General features: G+C 38.5%; 1 protein-coding gene across 15 annotated transcripts in view; it reads right to left on the bottom strand.

Moving 5' to 3' along the window:
- The window catches only part of CTNNA2 (catenin alpha 2), a 1,463,404-nt gene that overhangs the window by 68,593 nt on the left and 1,371,955 nt on the right, over positions 1-22,856 (bottom strand). For all 15 annotated transcript variants that reach the window (NM_001399737.1, XM_024452714.2, XM_011532556.3 and 12 more), the window contains one exon: positions 5,874-6,025. In NM_001399737.1, the coding sequence (NP_001386666.1) occupies positions 5,874-6,025 (152 nt within the window). The remainder of the gene's footprint in view (positions 1-5,873; positions 6,026-22,856) is intronic.

The following is a 22,856-nucleotide window of genomic DNA, read 5'->3' as shown; positions in this document are numbered from 1 at the left end:
CTCACGCAGGTTTCTTAACACTCGTATGATGTAGACATTATTTTCTCCATTTTCCAGGTAGGAAAACTGAGGCATGAGACGTTATAGCTTGCTCTAAGGCTTTGCTAACTCTATGAGGTTAAATTCGAACGGTAGTAAGGATGGTGCACAAAAGTGAGTGAGTGAATCAGTGTGAGATTAGCCTGACAGGTGATGGTCTTCCACAGACTGCCTCTTGGCATACAGTAGGACCACATTCCAGGGCTTTGTCTTTCAAAAGAAAAGAGCAGACCACAAGGAATACCGATGATGTAGTTGCCCATTCCCCATCCAAAAGGGCACATTTTTATTCTGCTGGTTTCTTTGGCTACCACAGTGTAATTAATCAGGTGTGGTTATTGATGAAGGCTTGAGATTGGTCAGACAGGCATAAAATGGGGTCCTTCGTGCCAATAGCACGTTATGCCTAGTAATTTTCCAAGCTTTGGCATATCACTCTTGTTTTTCCTTCTCTCTCACCATCAACCTTATTAACATTCACTCAGTCATCTACAGATGTTTACTTTCATAGGAATATTAAAATAAGGAGAGAAGAAAGAGGTTTTGTTCTCATATTTTATTAACTAAAGCAGGGCTACAGTAGGCAGAGCCCAGTTCAAGTAACTGGTTGTATTTTTATTGTGGACAGAGACAATATTCTCTGATCATTTCTCCCTCTTTTGCAGTGTACTGTGGGACAATTATAGCAAGTTGGTAAATTCAGCTGACAGATGAGATGACAAGATTACAAGCGCTTTTTGTCATAAGTTCTTGAAAGAGAAAAAGTAAATCGAAAAATCTCATTCAACAAAAATAAGCAGAATATGACAGTTCTTATAGTACTGTGCCCAAACATTTCAGTGATCTGTGCATTCAGTAGATGAGTCAATGACAAACCCAACCTGGCAGCATAAGGCTAATAATGATGAGTTTTTATTCAAGAGACAATGGCCCAAGAACCAAAATAAAGAAAAACATTAAAATCAAAAGAGGTATTAACCTGGACGAGGACTCAGGGGACCTGCATGTTTTGACCTAACTCTGCCATTCACAAGCTATATGTCTTTGGCAAGTCACTTAGTTTCACTACTTCTGTGTCTCCCTGCTCATAAAACGGAGATTATAATTGCTATATGCACTTTCTGCCCCACAGGACTCCTAAGCTTAGATGTATAGGAAAATGCTTTAGGAACCATAAAAATTAACTAAATTCATAAATGATGGTGATAATTACTGTGCTTAATAATAAAATATAACACCTAATAACAACAACAGCAATAATAATGGCAATCATTGTTTACCACCCACTATGGGACAGGCATTCAGCTAAAGAATTTGATCCTTACAAAAACCTAATGAAATAAATGTAATCACCATTTTATAGGTGTGTGAACAGGCTCAGAACTGTTGAGTATATTTTCCAAAGCATCACACCTAGCAAGTGATGGAGGCGGGCAACAAGTTGACGGTTTCAGAGCCCATGATTTTAACCATCACAAATACCACCAGGCAAATAGATGAGCTTAAGCTATTTACATGTACCTTAAACACGCAACAAACCCATCCAGCCCATCCATATAAAAAGTTCTGTGCATGTGCAGTTTGCTAATTGCATGTGAGTGTGTCTCCTACTCGTGGCATTCTTTTTTGAATTACACATTTTTAAAACTATGAGTGCTATTTTTTAGTTGGTCAAAGACCTCCATGAATTAAAGGAAACATGGAAAATTACAGAGGGTCTGCAAATGGGCCCAGGAAGATTACGCTTCTATCATTAGATAGTGTTACAGGGTAAAGGAATAAATAAAATAAACAGTTCGCTGTACTGGAGGATAGAGACTGAGGGTGAAAGTTCTATGTGCTCTTTGGGAAGGCTTTTTTCAATAAACAGAAACTATTTAAAGTCTACTCCTAGTTTCGTGGTTCCACTATTTTATGTTTTGTTATGGAAGTGGGTCATATCTGTAAAATGGCACCAAGTATTCAGACTCCAGATTCTCTCCTAAAAGTCTATGAGATTAACTTGTGCCCATTACAGGGGCCCAGGGAGATCATGTGGCTTGACCAGGGTCATACCACATGTCAGTTGCAAAACAGGACCCGTTCACCTGCTGCTGGTGCTCTATTCCTCTGCAACAGCCTCTATAGAGAAACAAAGTGAGAAAGTATTGAAGGATTCAGTCATTTCACCTGGACATGTGAGTTGTTGAGTAAATTTTACAAATGAGTCCCGGTGAAATGACTCTGAATCCTTCAGTATTTTCTCATTTTTCATAAAATGTAATAAGAACCATTGAAAGAAACGGCCCAAATGTGTATGAGAATTTCACTGGGAGAAGGCTGAGAATATAGGTTGGCAGGAGAGCTTGAGAGATGCATGAGGTAGGATTTCCCAACAGAGCTCAACACCACTGGAATGGGCTGCAGACTAGAAAATCAAATTAGAGATCCAAAGGTAAAAACAAAACAACAACAACAACAAAATGAAAAAACTCCCTAGTCAGGAGTGATTGGCGACCAGCAAGTCTGGCCTGGCCTGGATTATTCTGGAGGTTCCTAACTGATCTTGCTTCTGCTCTTGCCCCATACATTCTGTTCTCACCAGCATGGCCATGGTGGTCCTTTTAAGGTCTAAGTCAGATCACACTATTCCCCTGCTCAGAACCCTCCAGTGGCTCCCAACTCATTCAATAAGGTCCTTAGGTCTCTAGGTCAAGTTCCTGGCTCCAACCTTTGCACTTGACATTTCCTCCGCCGGAAACATGCTCCACCTGAGTACCGTTAGGGCTTATTTCTTCTTCCTTCTCCCAGTATCTTCTCAAATGCCACCCAGGTACCTCCTTTCATGAGATCCATGCCCACCAGAAGCTCTATCCCCTTTAGGATACTTTGGTTTTCTCTGTGGCATAATGTTTGACATTATATTTCCTTGTTTATTCTCTGTCTCCTACCAGAGGAATAGAAATCCTGTGAGGGTAGAGACTTTTGTCTGCTTTGTTCATCCTGTATTCAGGGCAACTCCAAAAGTTTGGACATCTAATAAGCTTTCAGCAAATAAATGAATAACCAAGACAGAATTACCAATTTTTAATCATACTGAACTATTTCTAATTAATAAAACTAGACACCTTAAGAGGCCACGTTGATTAACATATTTCATACAGAATTCAAGAGATGTCTATGTGCTACCCTTGAAATTTTAAAATATCTGGCAATGCTCCAGGGCACCTTGATACACAGTTTGGGAGACGTGAAGTTAAACTGTAACCTCCGCCTCCCAGGTTCAAGCAATTCTCCTCCCACAGCCTCCCAAGTAGCTAGGATTACAGATGCACGCCAACATGCCTGGCTGATTTTTGTATTTTTTTTTTTTTTTTTTTTTCAGTAGAGACAGGGTTTCACCATGTTGGCCAGGCTGGTCTTAAACTCCCGACCTCAGGTGATCCACCTGCCTCGGCTCCCCCAAAAAACAATACATATTAAAGAAGGTGTCTTTGAACACAAACTCACATAAAACAAGGTTAAGTATTGATCAGTTGATAAAAGTGTGGCCAGAAGCTCACAGTAACCTAACCCTGTATTTCTCCTAGAAGCAATGATTCAAGATTCACAAATTTCGTGTTCACAGTGAATTTGTAGAACACTAACTACTGTAAGAAATGAAAAATGACTATATGTTGGTCTGCCAGATTTGCATATATATTTTTAAGCCACTTTGTGGGGATAATCAGAAAATTCCTATGTGCCTAACAGATCCCAATGGACAAGCCTCAGGAAGAAGCAAAAAAAAAAAAAATGGTTTCATGGAAGAGGGGTAGATTGCTCCAACAGAAAAGGGAGGTCCTGACAGCTGAGGCTGGAATACAGTAAGAACAAGCTTTGTCTACTTCAGAGGGTTGCCTGGAGCTGGCCTCAAGCACTTGGATACCAACATCACCATTAAATATGTATTGACTGCCAAGAGACAAGATGATAAAGAATTTGACCCTTCAGGATCCTTTCTGTATTGTTTTTGGGAAAAGAAAAATCTTTCTTTGCAGCCTTTGGGAGGGAAGGAGGTATGGTCAAATGTTTTGGGAAAGAAACAATTCTACTTGTCTTATTGTTTATCTTCCTTAGCACAAGGGATTTTTTAAAGTAGACTCAATCATTACATTCAGAAAGAAAACCAAGAAATTATTTAAGTGCAAAATGAAGCCATTTGGGTGCTGAATGGAGAAGGATTTTAAAAATAACAATTTGTACATACTGTACATTTCTCTCCTCCTAAATTTTAAGTGGTGTGAAATCCGTCTAATCAAACTACTTGAAATGTCGAGATAGAGAAATGACACTTTATGTGACAAAGATACGACATTTTATCTAAAATTGTGTGTGTGTATGTGTGTGTGTGTGTTACAGCTCATGAATTAGTAAGTGAATGATGGCTATAAACTTTCTCATCCTCCTAGGTGAATGGTTGTGACAAACATGTGAAGGCCAGCAAAGCAGAAAAATGGCAAAAGAGGGAATATATCTTGAGGATTACAGTGGGATTTAGTACCAAATGCTTTGAAAATACAATTCTCATGGTCTATTACTTTATTTCACAAGTTAGTACAAAAATGATCTAATTTCTTATGGGCCTAAAAGGCTGACTATCTTTCCTTGCCCTCTCTTCCAATTCTTATATCTCTTTTCTCTGTCCCCCTCCCATATTTCTAGGCATCTCTCTCCCTCTCTTACACACACATACACGCACACACACCCAGAAAGAAAGAGAGAGAAAGATTTAGGCTCCGTGCCAAACAAAACACCATAGTGTGCCACAAAATGATATTTTGGATACATTTGGTTAAATAAATTTTTAAAATTATAATTAATTTCATCTTTTTGCTTTTGTAGTGTGTTTACTAGAATATTTTAAGTTACAAGTGTGGATACCATTCTACTGGACAGCATGCTTTTGGGATTAGAACTGCAGAAGCCCCACCTCTGCTTCAAATATAATAGCAATAAATGTGCTTTTGCATATGCAGTATATTTGAAGAAATAAAGATTATTATGTGGCTAATAAATATGTTTGGACATTACTATGCTAAACTGTTGGTAAGATAAGGAGAAAAAAGTCATCTTATAATGGATTATACAGCAGTTAAATAAAATGAGGTTAGCTAGATGTCTTAACAGACATATGTGAATGTGCCTTGTGGGTGAACAAAAAGTTGCAAATGATGCTGTATGAGTTTTTAAATCAACTACAATATATATTTTCTAGGCCTGTGAATATATATATTAATTATTTAGACAACATTTTGGAAGACACACCTACCTAACAACAGAAGTCTGAAGATGGGAAGATAGTGGAGTGGGTAATAAGAGGTTTGATGTTAGGCTATCCAGCCTTATTTATAATGTCTGAATTATTTTTATACAAAGAGAATGTAATTATGTATCACTTCATAGTTGCATGATAATAACTGTTACTATTATGTGTTATTATAAACACTACTATGCTGTGTAATCTTCATTTCTTTCCAGCCCATGGTCTTCAGATCCTGATGGGAAGAGTGTTAGCAAGAGATACAAATGGAAAATAGCAGGGGTATGCCTAAAGGTTGTATGAAACTGAGGAAGTAATGCATGCAACAAGTAGGCAGGGTGTTGCCCTTCAGAATATTCAGTGCTCACTTGAGCTTGTTGATATTACTCATCCCTTCATAAGTATAAAGCTCACCTTGTCTGACTAATAAGGAGCCAAACAGCTTACCAAGTTAAACTCAGTAATTACAAAATAAATAATAAATAAGACAGTTAGCTCTTTAGTTTCCTACTAGGAGATCTGACCAGCTCTGAGCTACAGAGGCCTCACATACCCTGATCATCAGCACAGCCTTTCTGATGTCCCGAACGCCATCATACACCAGGCGAGAGGCATCGATGAACTCATTCTCCTCAAACGGTTGAGGAACGTTGGCACTCAGGGCTTCAATGGCAACCTCTACTTGTTCAGCGAAGCGTGGCATCACTGGGTTAAAAATAAAAAGCAGAGGATTAGGCAATTTCTCTCTCACTACCTCTTATTCCAGCTCTTGGGCGAAGTGGCAGGTCCTCGGGCATTCTAAAAGTTAAGTGGAGCAAGACACTCATCTGTCCAGTTTGAAGTGAGCCCAATTTAGTAGTCTTTATGACAGTTACCTCAGGAGCAGGGAAAGGAAACTTTCCCAATTGTTATTCTATGCATGGTGATGGTTTGCAAAAGACAAAGTTTTTAAAACCTGCCCACAGTAGTGTGGTGTAGTGTGTGAATATAGTTTTCATGTTACCCTAACCCCAAACTGAGTTGCATTTCTGCTGGTTGCTGCTGGTTACTGGTTACTGTAAATCCTTGGCCACGTTTTAACCTGTTTCTTTGTCTATAAAATGTAATAAAATTCTACTTCGTGATTCAGTGGGAAAATGCAAAAAAGTTTTGGGTGGAATCTGGCCCTTTGGAAGTATCAATAAATATTTAACTAATATCGGATGTTACAGTCATAGCTGGTGAGTAGCAGACCTTAACCCAAATGGCTTCACAATCAAATGTGGATGAAATGATACAACCCTTCCCACTTTTGTCAGAAATGCTGGACTTGAGACATGGGGGAGGGGAGGGTGGAGCAAGGGAAGATGGGGAAGGAGTGTGTAATAGAAAAGAGGGAGACAGACACGGGACATTTCAGCAGAATGTCCTATGGAAAGAGAAGACCAATGGGCTCAAAGATAAAGTGTTCCATCTTACCAGGACCACCCGGATGTGAAAGAGCATACGTATATAAATTTCTAAAATGCTGACACTTCGTTATTTTCACAGGGATCCTGCACACACCCTAGAGATTAGTGGAAAGTAAACTCAGCGGAGCGTCTGGAACACCTCCACTAACTTCTTAAAAGATGCTGCTGATTCACTGATTCTCAAAAATTATAATTCAATTTTCTCAGCTTTTATCCTGTAACAATCAATTTGTATAGTAAATGAAAGCCAAAAGCATATTCGTTTTATTTACAAGGATGATAAAATAGAAACATCATTCATCTATTTCCATTCCTGAACTTTCATGCCTGATTCCTCTTTATACTCACTTTCATCCTCTGTGGATACTTTAATATCCATTTTAATCCCTCTGTGAGAAATTCTGCTAAATTACTTTACTCTGTAGGGTCAGAGTATTCAAGATAAAACATTCCTGGAAAAATGTATTTCTACCAGGAAAAGACAGACTTAAAAAAGGAGGGGGAGACAGCAGGGTTAGAGGAAAACTGTGTGCCCACACTTTAGTAGAAATTACCGAAACCACAGCATGCATGGGGAAATCTCCTTCTATGGATGAATTACTATAATTGGTTCTCTATATTACTTGAATTTTTCATTTGGGCTTTTAAGCTATATTTAGATAAAAGAATTTGGGAAATATTAAGCTGTACTGCCACAAATATGAATCAAATAAAACTATATTTCTAAAAACCACTGCATTAAACTCAGACTATTTGAGTTATTCGTGTTGGGAATAAACTTTTTTAAATGACTCAATAGTGAGCATGAAATTATTTTTGTACATATTAGAATTTGAGAATAAGTATCTTCTTAAATATAATTACAAGTTCCCTCTTTCTTAAACTGAGTTATATTAATGCCACTCCACGGTGTCTACGTTGCCATAAGTATGACCATCAGTGATGTTATAGTTCTATGTAATACTACAAGGGAGCTTTCAGAGGCATAAAACTGTTTATCCCTATGGATATAACTGATAAAGAATTAGTACTCCTACATGTATATAAAATAAATAGACTAATCCCACAAATCAATACGGAAAAATATTAAAAATTGACAAAGAATTAGTACACTCAGTTCACAGAAAAGCAATCCATATTGCTGATAAATACACAGTAAGACTTCACCCATAATCAGAGAAATAATGCAAACAATGAGATGTAATTTCATACTTATAGGCATAGGTAAACAAATTAAAGCATAATAATATTAATCATATTGAGCATGCAGACACAATGGTACCCTTCTACTACAGATGGGAGAACAATGGTTACACATCATTTCGGCAAGTGCTTTGACAAAATCTAGTAAAATCCACTCCCTGTGATTTGGGGCATTCTCTAGGGGCTTGGCCAAATATTAACTTCTAAAGAAATGCTGATTAGGAGGGGTAAGTAATTGTACATTGGAGTCACAAAAATGTTTTTGTGTCTCTATAACCATAGAGACAGTTGTTTCCTGCTAGGTTATATATTCAAAGAGTTAAGAAGAAAATTATACAAAACCTGAGAATGAAAATAATTGCTTTAAGGGAGCTCTGTCTACAGGCTCTACCCCAGCCCTATTCTGAATCCTCCAACTCAGGAACCACTTTGATATGCTAACTGCAGATCCACAGACAGTACATCTGGGTGGGATAAAACAGACTTAGGGATGTGAGTCAGGGGACAGTCAATATATTAAAGTGAATAAGCCCTGAGGTCAAAGTTCGAGTGGGAAAAACAATATCGTGTGAGTAGGAAAAGAAACATCGTTTGTGAAAAATTTTTAAATACACAAATGAAAACTGTGCATTATTTAAACATATACATTTGTACATGTTCTTACATGTTCTAAAAGGATATATACCACTTTAAATATAGTAGTTACCTTTGAGATGGAAGGAGAGACATTTGTTTTATTAGTCTTTGTTCTTTTTGTATCTTTGAATCTTTTCATAATTCACATGTTTAAAAAGAAATCAAATTATTCTCAAGGTTGTACTTCTTATAGAACTGGGCTCTGAAAAAATAAAGTTCTATCACATGGCCCACAACATGATAGAAACCGATCTGAACAATATCATTAAGTGAGGAAGTCCCTCAGACATTATGACTGTGATCAAACACTTAATATTCTGCCTTAGTAACTGCCAACTAAGAAGTTGAGTGGGAAAATGCCCACCGCTCAGACCCCAACCTGCATGAACACACCTCTATTTGCATGAAGACCTTTCTCGAATATAAAGGGGTGAAAAAGGTTATGGTGTTGCTTTGTTTGTGGCAAGGTCACCCTGAGGAAGAGATGGGGAGGAGGACAACGTAGAAGGTGACATGCTATTAGGTTGGTGCAAAAATAAATGCGGTTTTTGCCATCTCGCTAAAACCACCTCCTGGCCTGATACTTCCCGCAAGGGTGAGAGGAGAAAGCTAAAACCTAAATGGACTTCATAGGGGATGCTCTGCAACTCAGAATACATCTAGTAATGCTGTGACATACAGTTTGGAGAAGAGGATTCTATTTGCACCAGCATGGCATACATTATCTCTCTAGTGAGATTTGGATGGTAGGATTTTGGTATAAACAACAGTGTTATTGACCTGGGGTTGTCAGAAGTGGCAGAAACAATGAATTTTTATGAAGAGATTGGAACAGAACTACCATCGACCTTTCAAGGAAGAAAAAAACGATAGGGGAGAGGGTACAAGTTCTTTATTTTTAAAATAGAGGCTCAGAGTGCAATTGAGCCTTAATATTTAAACCATCTTATTATATTCTTTGGCCAGTAAAACATAAAACTCGAACTCATTCAATTCATTATATTTACTGTAACTGACAAGACATCTATTTTTTTCCTTACCATAAGTCAGTGTTTTTCTGGGTCTGACCCCTAAGAAACTCTTTCTCTGAGACCAATCCTAAGCACAGTTCAATATTTATTTAGGGATTGGTCAACTGCTACTGTTCTTTAATCACCAATACCTCTGCTCTCCACATTGCTGCTCTTCGCTCATTCGGTCTTATCCTATTCTGCCTTTAAGAGTGATGAGGCTGGGCACGGTGGCTCACACGTGTAATTCCAGCACTTTGGGAAGCCAAGGTGGGTGGATCACCTGAGGTCTGGAGTTCAAGAATAGCCTGGGCAACATGGTGAAACCCCACCTCTACTAAAAATACAAAACATAGCCAGGCATGGTGGCAGGTGCCTGTAATCCCAGCTACTCGAGAGGCTGAGGCATGAGAATCGCTTGAACCCAGGAGGCAGAGGTTGCAGTGAACCAAGATCGCACCACTGAACTTCAGCCTGGGCAACAGAGCGAGACTCCGTCTCAAAACAGAAAGAGTGATGAGACATAAAAACAAAAGTTTATAGAACAATGACCCATCTTGACAGAACCTAAGATGTTAGGTTGACTATTAATTTTTCTAATACTTTGGTAATGTCTAAAAAATCTAGGCCAGGCGCCTTGGCTCATGCCTGTAATCCCAGCACTTTGGGAGGCCGAGGAGGGTGGATCACGAGGTCAGGAGATCGAGACCATCCTGGGTAACACAGTGAAACCCCGTCTCTACTAAAAATACAAAAAATTAGCTGGGTGTGGTGGCGGGTGCCTGTAGTCCCAGCTACTTGGGAGGCTGAGGCAGGAGAATGGCATGAATCTGGGAGGCAGAGCTTGCAGTGAGCCGAGGTGGTGCCACTGCACTCCAGCCTGGGCAACAGAGCAAGACTCCATCTCAAAAAAAAAAAAAAAAAAAAAAAAAAACCTAAATACCCCAAAAGTAATACTGAGACAGAAAAAGTTTCAAACTTCCTCAAATATGATGCTGCTTCTGCCTCTCACTAATTAGGACAAAACGCAGCATTGCCTTTGTGATGCACACATTGTGTATTAACAGAGTTTTTGATATAGGAATATAAATAGAAGCTTCTTTCTGCTTTCTGAATTACATCCAAAAACTGTAGGCACCACTTTACAGTTATTTATCAGAAATGCTGATTTGTTCTTAATAGCTTATGTCTGAAAGGGTGATCAAATTCAGAGATAAACTTTTGAATTCTAGCTATATTTCTGTATGCAGCGCACACACTAGGCCACAAAACGATGATATCCCTAGGAGTAATGAAATCAGAGTTAAGTATGCATATAAAAATCAAGGTCGCATCATTCTAGTGTTGATCGAGATCCTAAACCAGAGGTGAGAAAGTTCTGGAATAAATTCTCCTGAGAGACGTCAGGGATGAAGTTTCAGAACACAGGGTGAGTCAGTTAAATGAATGAGAAGTTGTGTTAAATATTCAAATAGGACTGCTGACAACCCAAAGGGCAAAATGCAAGGTCAACCAAAGGTAGCAGAGATGAAGAGTCAGGTAACCTCGCTACCCTCAGGTATATAAAAGGTCCTTACCCCTGCTTTAAGTATTCCAATGATTCCCTATACTACAGAGAACTATAAAACCTCTTTATCAAGAAACAAACACAAAAAGCATCTATTATCTGCCTATATGGTTCTTGTGTCTTTCTGTCTCACCCCTTATTACCACATATTCTCAAATGTTCCAGTTAGACAGACTTTAACTTCAATATCTCCAAATATGAAATGGACCCACAGCAACATATCCATGAATGATTTATTTTCTCATACTGAAATGTACATACTCGTCTTTGGCCCAGGTGAACTCCTACTCAATCTTCAATCTCCAGTGTAGAACTAATTGCCATTGTGAAGCCTTCTTTAATCCTCAGAACCCAAAGTAGACAGTTCTCTACAATTCTCTGTAATTTTATAGCATCCTAATCTCACACACACACACACACACACACACACACACGCACACCATTATAGCACTCAGTATACTGTATTAGGCTAGTTCATCGGTATTTCTGTATGTCAACTGTTTCACATATGAATCGCCTTCAGGCAGAGACCATCTCTGCTTCATTCTTTGCATTTAAACCCTTGTCCTGCTTCTAGCACAGACAATCTATCCAGTTGGGTAGAGAAGGATAAGAAGTAAAAGAATAGGACAGGAATAAATGGGGAAAATTAAGATGAAGAACTCCTTTGTCATCCAGTATTTCACGGACAAAGTGAGTAGCATCACATTTCACATAACAAGTCTCTCTTTTTCTGCCCATCATTTAGCATTGGTTCAGTAATTTTATTAAAAAGTATCACGAGTCATTTAACAAGTGATTAGTGGGCATTCTGGGTTTGGTCTGTAGGGACCTTTCAGAAACCTGAGCTCAGGATTCTTTCAGGACTCTGCTTCTTCAGAAGGAGCATCACCATTGAGCAAGAAAGATTCATAATTCTATTCTCAACTAGTTCGCCAAGGCCAGTCAAGCACATCTGCATGCACAGGGGTCACCCAACTGTGGTGATGCAGTCATCCAACACACTCTGAGTGTGTTTCTTGCACAAATTTTATTATGGAGCATAGAGAAAAGAAAATAGACAAAGCCCCTGTTCGAGAGAGATAAACAGTTTAGTAACTGTTAACATAAAATAAAAAAAAGAGCATTGAAAGGAATCTAAAAATAACATAAAATATCACGACAGGGATGGAATTGCAGCTAATTCCTGTGCAGGAATTAGTACAATATCCTCCCCCCATCACAGACAGTCACTGAGCCTCTACTGTAACAGTTGGAATTCGGTAAAGATTAGGGAAAAATCAGAGTAATTGGAGCCAGAAAATATTAATTTGGAGGATCACTGTGGGGCCATTCCAGTGTCCCCTATACCAGGTAAGTGATGTTTGATGTTATTTCTACAGGTAAAGTATTCTTTCCCAAAAATGGTTCCTGTCAGACACTGCTAAGGGATTATTCAGGAGGCCCCCTAATTAGATGACAGAAGAGAGGAAAAAAGGGTAAAAGAGAGTGTGATATCAACTACTGGGGCCCTAAAGTTGCCCAAAGGGGACTCTGACTGGCATCTATAAGGCACGGGGTGTGCCTTGACAATTCCACACATCCATGAAGCATAATCAGTTGTAAGAAGACCGAGTCTGAAGTTCCAATTCACAGTCAATGTAGAAGTAGAAACTACCCCAAACTGAAGCCATAACACATCTCTCCCTTTAGTTCCACTTAAGAACAGATGACAAATCATAGAAGCTGGCCACCATTTTATATTAGTGATTTTAGTAACGAATGTCATGATCATAAATTAATAGAAGGTCTTTAAGTATTCCCCCAATTCACCCCTACACGGGGGACTTTAAAAATCCTCAGCTCAGAATCTTTTTAGAGATGTTTGGGTGGGAGCATTACCTACTAGGCAAATGGATCTATACGTCTACTTCGCAAATAGTGACTATTTCATTTCCATATGTATTTATAGGTGTGTGCCTTCCCTAGGAGGTACGAGGATGGCTGGAATCTCATTAAAGCCCTTGGCTAAGGGTTCGTACACTGTTCAGAGCTTTCACTTCCACCCCTAATTTTACACACATGCACTCGAATCTTGGTTATGACTTCTGACACCACAGGCTAAAGAGCTTCTTCAATTAATGTTCGAATCTCTAAACCTAAGTCAAATAGAATTTTTCCTGATGATGCCATTAGTTTTTTATTCCCTTTGGCATGCACACTGATCTTTGAATTATGTACCAGCTTTGTCTATGTACCATTCCCTGACTCTTATCTGTTCTCTTTGACTCCAACCCACTTCTCCAATCACCTTGAATGAATCTAGGCCCTTCCTTCTCCACGATCTAGCTCTGTTATTCCTCTGTCCCCTCCTGTCCACATACTGTATGGCTTCATATTGCCTCAGTGGATCTTTTGTGCTCTAAATGCCACTGCACAAGGTAATAGGGCTATTATACCAGCATTTGAATATGTCCTTATTAAGTCCATGTTGTGGGATTTGTCCACACACCCTAGGACTGTTTTATCCAGTTATGCCATTCATTACCCTTATGGTCTCTCCTATCCTCATGTATTTGCAAATATGTATGTGTGACAGATGCCTCTGAGAGGGCCCCCAGTGATTCCTCTTCTCCTGGTATTCATGCCTTTGTGTAATCCCCTCAACCTTGAATGTGAGCTGGAACTAGTAATTCACTTCTAACCAACAGAATATGGCAAAAAAAGATGGGATGCCACTTCTGAAATGAAAAATGATGCTGGCTTCTGTTTTCTTACTATCTTGGTTACTTAACTCTGATGGAAGACAGTTGCCATGTTGTAAGCTGCTCTAAAGAAAAGCCCACGTGGCAAGTTAAATTTGCGGGTAATTTGTTACACAGAAATATATAACTAATGTAGTATGCTATGCCATAAGTAAAACTATCAGTAAAAATAGCTATGCCCTAAGTAAAAATATTGGTAAAAAACTAGCTAGCAGGACACATGAAAATTTCTGTTTAATTGTAGCAACGATGCTTGATCTACGTTTCAAGCATATTTATTGGTTCCAGGAAAATGTGTAAATGAATCTTGATATTTAATTTTACACGTTATTAAACCAATTTAAGCCTCAGTTTACTCAGTATAAAACAGAAATAATGATCATTGCCCTTCAGGGTTTACATAAAGATCAGAAATACATTCAACAAGTTTATTACTAAATTTTATATGCAAATCTAAGCAGTACTCTAGGCACCGGGAATCGGGAATCGAGTGGTAAATAACACAAATACATTATGCTTTGGAGGCACTTACAAACAAGTAGGATGCATGTCAGATGATTACCACACTGCCTAGCACATGAAAGAGCCATAGTAAATGCTTCTTGGGGCTGTCTTCACACCATGACTTTCTGCATTTACCCATGCACACACTGTTTCTACCAGGCAAAATCACCTAGTCTCTTTTGGAAAGAACTTGGAGGTACAACCACACGATTCACCATGGAAAAAAAAAAAAGGTGAGCATAATGGGACACAGCACACCAATTAGTGCTGAATCTGAAAACCGGGAAGTTGGTACAATTTGTTTTGCAAACTGAGCTTCCCCAGTTCTATGCCCTTCTCTCCCCTCAGCAGCCCCGTATCATCCTGGTGACAGTGTTGCATTTTTAATAAGGAATTTCCTGTGAAATAATCTGCCCTCAGGACAAGATTTGATAAACTTGCTCCTAGAACTTTGCTTTTTATCTTGCTTGCCAAGAAGGCCAATGTTAAACATGGTGTTCCATTATGACCTCCCCAGATCCATGAGGAAAGAAAGTCTTTGAAAGCCTTTACCAACAAAGTAGTAACTTCCAGAAAATAAAAACAAAACAATTCAAACTCAGCTTGCCTAGCCCAGTAGAAACACAGTTTCTACTCAGCCACCCAGTTTCATCCAATATTCTCTTGAAACTATTTCCTTTCTATCTCATATTTACACCACTTTAATTATTTAATTTACATCACTTGATTGAATTTAAATCTTAAGTGTCTTCAAATGCTTTTTTAAAATGTAGCAGAGGCAATGTAGAAATAAACCTTACATACTTTCTCTAAATTTCAATCTTCCTCTGCCTAGACCAATGATATACTAGCTTCTCTTCTGTCTTGAGACATCAGGTTCGAAGTTGAAAATTGGAATCCAGGAGCAAGAACAACAGTACCCTGGCTTAATCTGCTCCCTATTTGCTGCTATTTGTCAGCTGTTTCTACCTCTCCAGACAACTATCATCATCTTGGCCAGTCCCAATTCTTCCTGCATACATTCTTGGACTTTCTTTCATCCGAGTCAATCATCTGTTACCTCTGTGGGAGTTTCTAAAGGCTGCCATTTCCATAAATTCATGTTGGGAAAATTATAAATGTATATTTCAAACATAAATCAAATTTAAGTTCCAGAAGGCAATACATAACCCATGAGATGAATTGTTTGATAAAAGATGAAGAAGGACTGCCTAGAAGGAGGGGGTAAAAAAAAAAAAAAAAACTCTCTAAATTCCATTCACGACAACTACCCTAAAAGAATCAGGGAGCATCCATCTGCTCTTGTCTAGACACAAATTCCTTTTCCTGAGGAAAGAAAATGCTTGCTTGGAAAGTTTTCTTCTATTTTAAAATAAGCATTTCAAAAATAATCACAAATGGTTTATAACTTAAAAGGATGGCACATTTAATTCTGAAACTTAAGGAACGAATAAAGTATTGAGCATGAGCATGATGCCTTATTTAGCTTAGTGTTTGTCAAAACCTAGCTTAATAAATACAGTCTAATTTGGCATCTGTGATGTTTAAATACTTAGATTGCATTAAGATGTAATAAAGTGCTTGCTAAAAATTTATTGCACATAACTTAAAAGATTCTTATCTTGATCATTAAGTATGCGATTTAAGGAGGGTTTAATCCCCCAGAATAAGGTAACTGTGTCATTATGTTACTCATTTATATTAATGACATCTTTGAGTTTCAACTCTTAGTTAAAGCTGCAGGTAATGGAGAGGTAGACTCAGATCTTAAGAGGTTAAAATTTAACAAAAACATGCAAAAAGTCAATACATACACACATGCCTCAGGTACTAAGATGGACAGAAGACAGATATAAACACTAGGACAGATATAAACGTAAGTAGAAAAGTGGGTAACAAGGAGTATGAAATACTTGGCAGTATATGGTAGGTTCCAAATGAGTAACACAGATAATAAGAGTAACAGGTACACCGAAGAGTGGGCTTCTCTGGTCTGGTTAGAAAGGGGACTTCACTGACAAGGAAGAAATCAGGTAGAATTAGAGGAAAGGTAAAATACAGAAAGGCAAACCAGGAGCCAAGTGGGATGGGCTCATGCCTGTAATCCCAGCATTTTGGGAGACTGAGGTGGGGAGAATCACATGAGGCTAGGAGTTGGAGACCACTCTAGCCAGTATAGCAAGACCTGTCTCTACAAAACAAATTTAAAATTTGGCAAGGAGGTCATCTGGAGACTACTCTGGCCATATACAGTACTTCTGTTGTTCTTTTGTTCACCTGTTATTTCAGGCCCTCCGGCTACATGCAAAGGTTCCCATTTTTTCATTACCAAAACTATTTCTGGAATACTCCAAGGATGTACCACATGTGCTTCCAAATGAGTGGCTGTTAGCATATTCTTCCTCTGATTCAAACACCTATCACTGATGTGGCAGTTTCCCCTCCGTCAGAGAATCTGGGTGACAGGACATTACTACAGCCTCAGTTGTGCACAATTAAAGCATCCAGACCACCAATTCCAGTGGACACCAGCACTGACTCTGCTAGACACAATATGTAGGCCCCTAATTTACTACACTGCCATTACCACAGATGCTGGTCTCTGATGTCCTTGAAGTGACAAAGAAGCACATGTACTCTCCAGTTCCCAGGATTCTGAATCCATGAAGAACTGGAGATTCATGTCTTTCTTTTTTTTTTTTTTGGTTGTACTTTGACAAACAGGCACTAGAGAAGTGCTGTTTGTTCTGCTGTGTCACCCCAAATTTATGGCCTATACACACATGCAGTTGTGAATCTTCCTATGTTTACCGTACCCTATCTCCACCTTCACGTTAAGGGTTTTATTGTTAGAATAAAATTTTGTATCTTACTTTCTCTTCCTGTGTTATATAATTTACCTTTTTTGAAAATAAATGGAACATGTTATACATACTTTTTCCACCTCATTTTTTAACCTAAAAATATAGTCAGAGATTGTATAGTTATTCCCCATTCTGTTTTATAGCTGCATACTACTCCACTGTGTGATTAGACCATAATTTATTCAACCAGTGCCCTAAAGCTAGATATTTGTGTTGTTTCTAGCCTACAGTCTTGTAATAAATAATCTTGTGCATACGTTTTTATATTTTTTGCCAGTACATCTGAAGAACAGATTTTTAAAAGTGAGATTGCTTTCCAAATGTTAAATATGTTCTGTTGACAGAAGATGTCAAATTTCCTCCATTTTGCACATCTACAAGCAAAATATAAGATGACTTTTCCTAATCCTTAACAGAGTATATATATTATAGAACTTTTGGATTTTTGCCATTCTGATGGGTAATGGTTTCTCAGCGTAGTTTTTAATTTGCATTTATCTTATGAGAGAGTTCAAGCAACTTTTCTTTTGAGGAGGAATCATTTACATTTCTATATTGTAAGCTATCTGGTTATGGTCGTATTTTCTGAGGTGGTTCTTCAGCCTCTTATGCTGAGAGAGCTGACCATGTCTGAATTGTGGGAGAACACATCATTCACAAACACACCAGTGTATAGGAAATATTTTCATGTTTCTGCATGGTCAACCCTGTCTGAATGAAAATACTGGTAACCTGGTTCAAAGGTTAACAGTCCTAAGATAGTGAAATAACCTGGAGAGAGATTTATAGACAGCTTCTCCAGATATGTTTACATTTCAAAAGAGGGATAAAACTAGGAACCATGCATTTATATTCCAAAAGTTTTTAACCACTTGGCTACCTCCTGGACAGAATTTGTTTACATAAAAAACGTGGCCAGGCGCGGTGGCTCATGCCTGTAATCCCAGCACTTTGAGAGGCCGAGGTAGGCAGATTACCTGAGGTCAGGGGTTTGAGATCAGCCTGGCCAACATGGTGAAACCCCATCTCTACTGAAAATACAAAAAAAAAAAAAAAAAAAATTAGCCAGGCGTGGTGGCGACCGCCTGTAATCACAGCTACTTGGGAAGCTGAGGCAATAGAATCACTTGAACCCAGGAGGCAGAGGTTGCAGTGAGCAGAGACTGCCATTGCACTCCAGCCTGGGCAACAAGAACAAAACTTCATCTCAAAAAAAGAGAGAGGAAGTGTTTCTTTCCTGCCCTCAGGAGGAGCACCAATTTCTAAATAAGCTCCTAGATTCATAATGGTGTGGTTCCCCACCTGTAGCACAGACCTCCACTGTATGTGCAGAATCCATCTGCCCTCATCACATTGCTCCAAGAGCGGGAATGGAACATGGGAAACTGACATGCTTACTGTGCAAAGTAACGTTTGTTTTCTGAGCCCCAAAACCTTGCATTTGCTTTTAGGAAAAATTATACAGATCTTCAAAAACTTATCAGATTTCTACAATACTTAGAGTATATAGGTTTTAGTCATATAAAAAAGACATTGAGACAAATTATACGTTATCTATTTAAGGGCTCTTTACTGGATGAGGCTTCTTTCTCATTCTTCCTACACTTCCGACTTAAAATTAGTCATGCCGAAGTAACTTAGACTGTGGATAGTCCTTCCTATCTCTAATACTTAATAGTTTGTCTTCCCAATAAGCTGCCCCTACCACCTCCTTCTGACATCAATCTCATACTCCAGTCCCCCATATTCCAGCCAGAGAGATAGGCAGGTCACTCAGACCTGTCCAATCATAAAACTCTATTCCACTAGCAACAGAAATCAGTCCAACTGAAGGAAGCATAGGCCAGAAAGCCAATCAGATGATTTCCCATTGATACACAGAAATTGGTCTTGAGCTGCAAACCTGAGGCTGCTGGTAGACATATTTTCTACAGAAAAAAAAGACAAAGTGTAAAGTTCTCATTTTTGGTATTCATTTAATCAATACTTACGTATTAAATGTGTTACTGAAAACACCATTCTAGGCTGTGGGTACCTATAGAAACACTTGCCTCTAAAAACAGACAATCCTGTTGTAAGCAGTCATTTACACTGAAGAGGACATACCATACTAAATGTCAAAAGACTAATAGTTTTCTGTGGTCTCCAACTGAGACTAGAGCTATATTTTAAAGGTGAATCTCAATAAACAGATGTAAAGCAGGAGGAGGAGGAGATGAAGAACGTTGCAGGGAGGACAGAGGGAGCAGCATGGATATGTTTTGCCTGGAGAATAATGAAGGCCCTCGTCCAGATGGTGCAGAGGGTTTATACAGGGGACTCATGGGCAATAATTGCTTATGCCAAGTGCAGTCACCAGGAAGCCAGAAACAGTGATGCATATATTACGCAATTAATACCGACCCATTCTTGAATGACAAAACATTGGGCAATACAGGAAAAAACCCAAGTCCCAGAGGCACTAACTGATTTGTTTAAGGTCACAGTTAGTTGGTAGCAGTCAAATAACAGTTCTTCTGAATCCTAACCTTGGATTCATTCTACTGCATTGTCCTGGCCCAAATGTACCCTCTCAATAAGATTTCCAGTTTGGATGCTTTGTATTTGTTGGTCCTTTTATACTTTCTAAGCAAAAATATATAGAAATGTTGTAAAACGAAAAACCTTCCCATTCGTATAAAACTTTAGGTTATAGAGCATGGAAGTAAAAATTATACCATCTGCTTGGCCCACGTATTTTCCAAAATAATGGAATTTTAATCTCTGCATACAGAGTGCTCCATAACATAGAACCCTTTTTAAAATATGCTTTTTTCTTTTTTTTTTTTTTTTTTGGTCTATTGTTTCCTCTGAAGAAAAAATATCTGGCAGAATCTCACAGATCTTTTAACCTAGTCACGCTCACATGGCCACAAACTTGAGTCAGCTATCAAATTTACAAAAATGACATTTCAATATAATCCATTCAGTGAAGAATGAGCTACTGTATGTGTGTGTATATATATATATAAATATGATATCGCTGAATGTGCTTTCACCCCTCCTCAGCCTCCTGCAGCAACCCAACTTTGTAAACGAGATCTATGAAGATGGGTCTGGTCAAGCGTGTACTTACTACTAAGCTGTTTGGCAATTTGTTATAATTCAGGTTTTATTGAAGAGCCCATCAAATATGCCATGTAAGTATTTAATGGGTCTGCTGTAGATCCAATTTATTGTGTTTTCATCAGCCTAGATTGTTTTATAGAAAATGAACAGGTAAATTTGTACATAATGCTACCCTATAATTCTTAGCATACTAATAATCTACAAAATTTTCTTAAATTTAATTCAGCATTCATATCAAGACAAGAAGCACTCTTAAGCAAAGCACTGTCTTTACTAAGGAAAGAAAATAATTCATGGAAAATAAACCACAGATGTGTTATCACTCTTTGGGCACCTCTCAATTTTCCAGCCACTCAGCGAGGGCAGCCAAGTGGTAAAGTGGGAGTCTCCCTACAGTGACCTACCCATGCAGCCATTCATCTGTCTACACAGGGGTTTGCCTGTGTGTAAACACCTTCAGCAGCAACATCCAGTTCAGTCAAGGCTGTTTGATTATTCTGCCCTTTTACAGATTCTTCTTTGTAATATACTCCCAACCCCACTCCCTTTTCACTATGTCCACAGTACATGGGCTCCAATCTGTCCTGTTTGAACTTGTCCCTATTTTGGGTTATTTCTTTACTTTAGGGCAGTAATGCTCAGTGCACATTATTTTGCCCACCAGGACCCACTTCCTTCAAGGATATCTGGCAATGTCTAGAGACATCTTGGTGGTTACAACTTGGCATGTAGAAGAAAGAGATGCTACAAACATTTAGCAGGTGGAGTCCAGGGATGCTTCTAAGCATCCCATAATGGACAAAACAGTCCCCAGAACTCTCCCCAAGAAACAACTGTTCAGACCAAAGTGTCAACAGTACAGAGGTTGAGCATGTCTGACTCAAGGTCTTGAATCTAATGGCACAGAATTTTTTAAAAATAAAATATCAAACAAAAAAATCAATGGGCAGAACCTAGTAGGTGTGGCAACAACAACAACAACAAAAACCATGACATTTTGTCTTCTTTCTCCTCATCTTTCCTCTTGGCATTTTTCCCTTTTTTCCCACTACCACCCTCTCTCACCCTACAATGTACTCTCATGACAAAATTTGATAGATTCACATAGAAAAGTGGCCAATTCAACATGGCTCTAAAATTGTTTAAGTCAGAAACAAAACTAAGCAAAAGGTAGATAATTTGGCATCAGGGACATGCACAGGGTTTCTATTTTGAGGACATATATCTTATGTCTCCTTAGCACAGACATACAATGACATTAGAAGTAAATCACTTTAGACAACATATATATATACACACACACACACACACACACATATATACACACACACACACACCAACAAAACTTTGTACAACCATAATTACAGAACTGATCCTGTGGTCATCCTCAAACTCCACGTGTCTACTTTATGCAAGCACATTCCCCAGCAATTCTCATTAGCAGTCAGTGAGTTAATAGCTGAAGTTTTTTTCTTTCATTTCTTTGGCAACCTCTCTAGTTATTCACAAAATAGTAACATTATTCCTGTTTCAGAAAGAGAAGAACAATTGGGGACAAATACCAAAGAAATTGTATACCTTTGTATTCTAGCTCTTAGTCCACTGACACCCACTTTTCCTTGACACTTATTCCTATATTTTCAATTAAAGTTATATATAAGCTGTCTATTTCAGTCTCTGCCTGGTTACTTTCCTAGTTAACTTCAATAAATCCTGAAAAGTAGAATTTAAATGTCCTGCTCATCTACCGTATTCAATTAGGAATTGGATATGGGCATCAAAATAAGAAAGGTGCCTTTAGTTAAGCCCCCAGAGTGCTCAATCATTGCAAGCCAGGATAAAAATTGTAAAAACTCAGAACAAGTAAGAGCAAAAATCTTGATTAGCAACAACAATCCAGGATGAACGACTATTTGTTTTTTTAAAAGTAGAAAAATCAACCAGAACATTATTTACATATCAAGACTTTGGGTGAAAATTATGTTAAAATATTACAATCAACTAAGCAATTGTCCTTGCCTTTAGATTTTGACCTAGTAAGTGGCACTCCTGTTGTCAAAGCAGTCCAAGATACAATAAGAAAAAGTTCTAAAATGTCATTTGAACAGTGCCTGAGTTATCTGTGGGTAGAAAGTCACATGAAAATTGGCAATATGCTCTGTATCTTTCATCTGCCACAAGTGTCCTTCCCACCAGTCATGAGTGGGCAGGAACTGAGTCCTGTCTCTAGGTCTTCAACACTTCTCTGGTATTATTTATCTAGTGACAGACCCAGGTGAGTGTTACTCTGTCAGATATCTCACATGAAGCTGAGACTTTGTACAAGAATAGAGCTGATGGGCTGGGAACTGTAAGCCACAGAAATGTGAGATGGTCTCCCTAAAGGTTACTAATGAAAAAGTCCTTAATTTGGAGAATTAGGGAAAAAAATACCTTTTTATAACTCTTC

This window comes from Homo sapiens, chromosome 2, assembly GCF_000001405.40.
Source record: "Homo sapiens chromosome 2, GRCh38.p14 Primary Assembly".
Lineage (NCBI taxonomy): Eukaryota > Metazoa > Chordata > Mammalia > Primates > Hominidae > Homo > Homo sapiens.
This window is presented reverse-complemented; position numbering and strand designations above follow the sequence as displayed.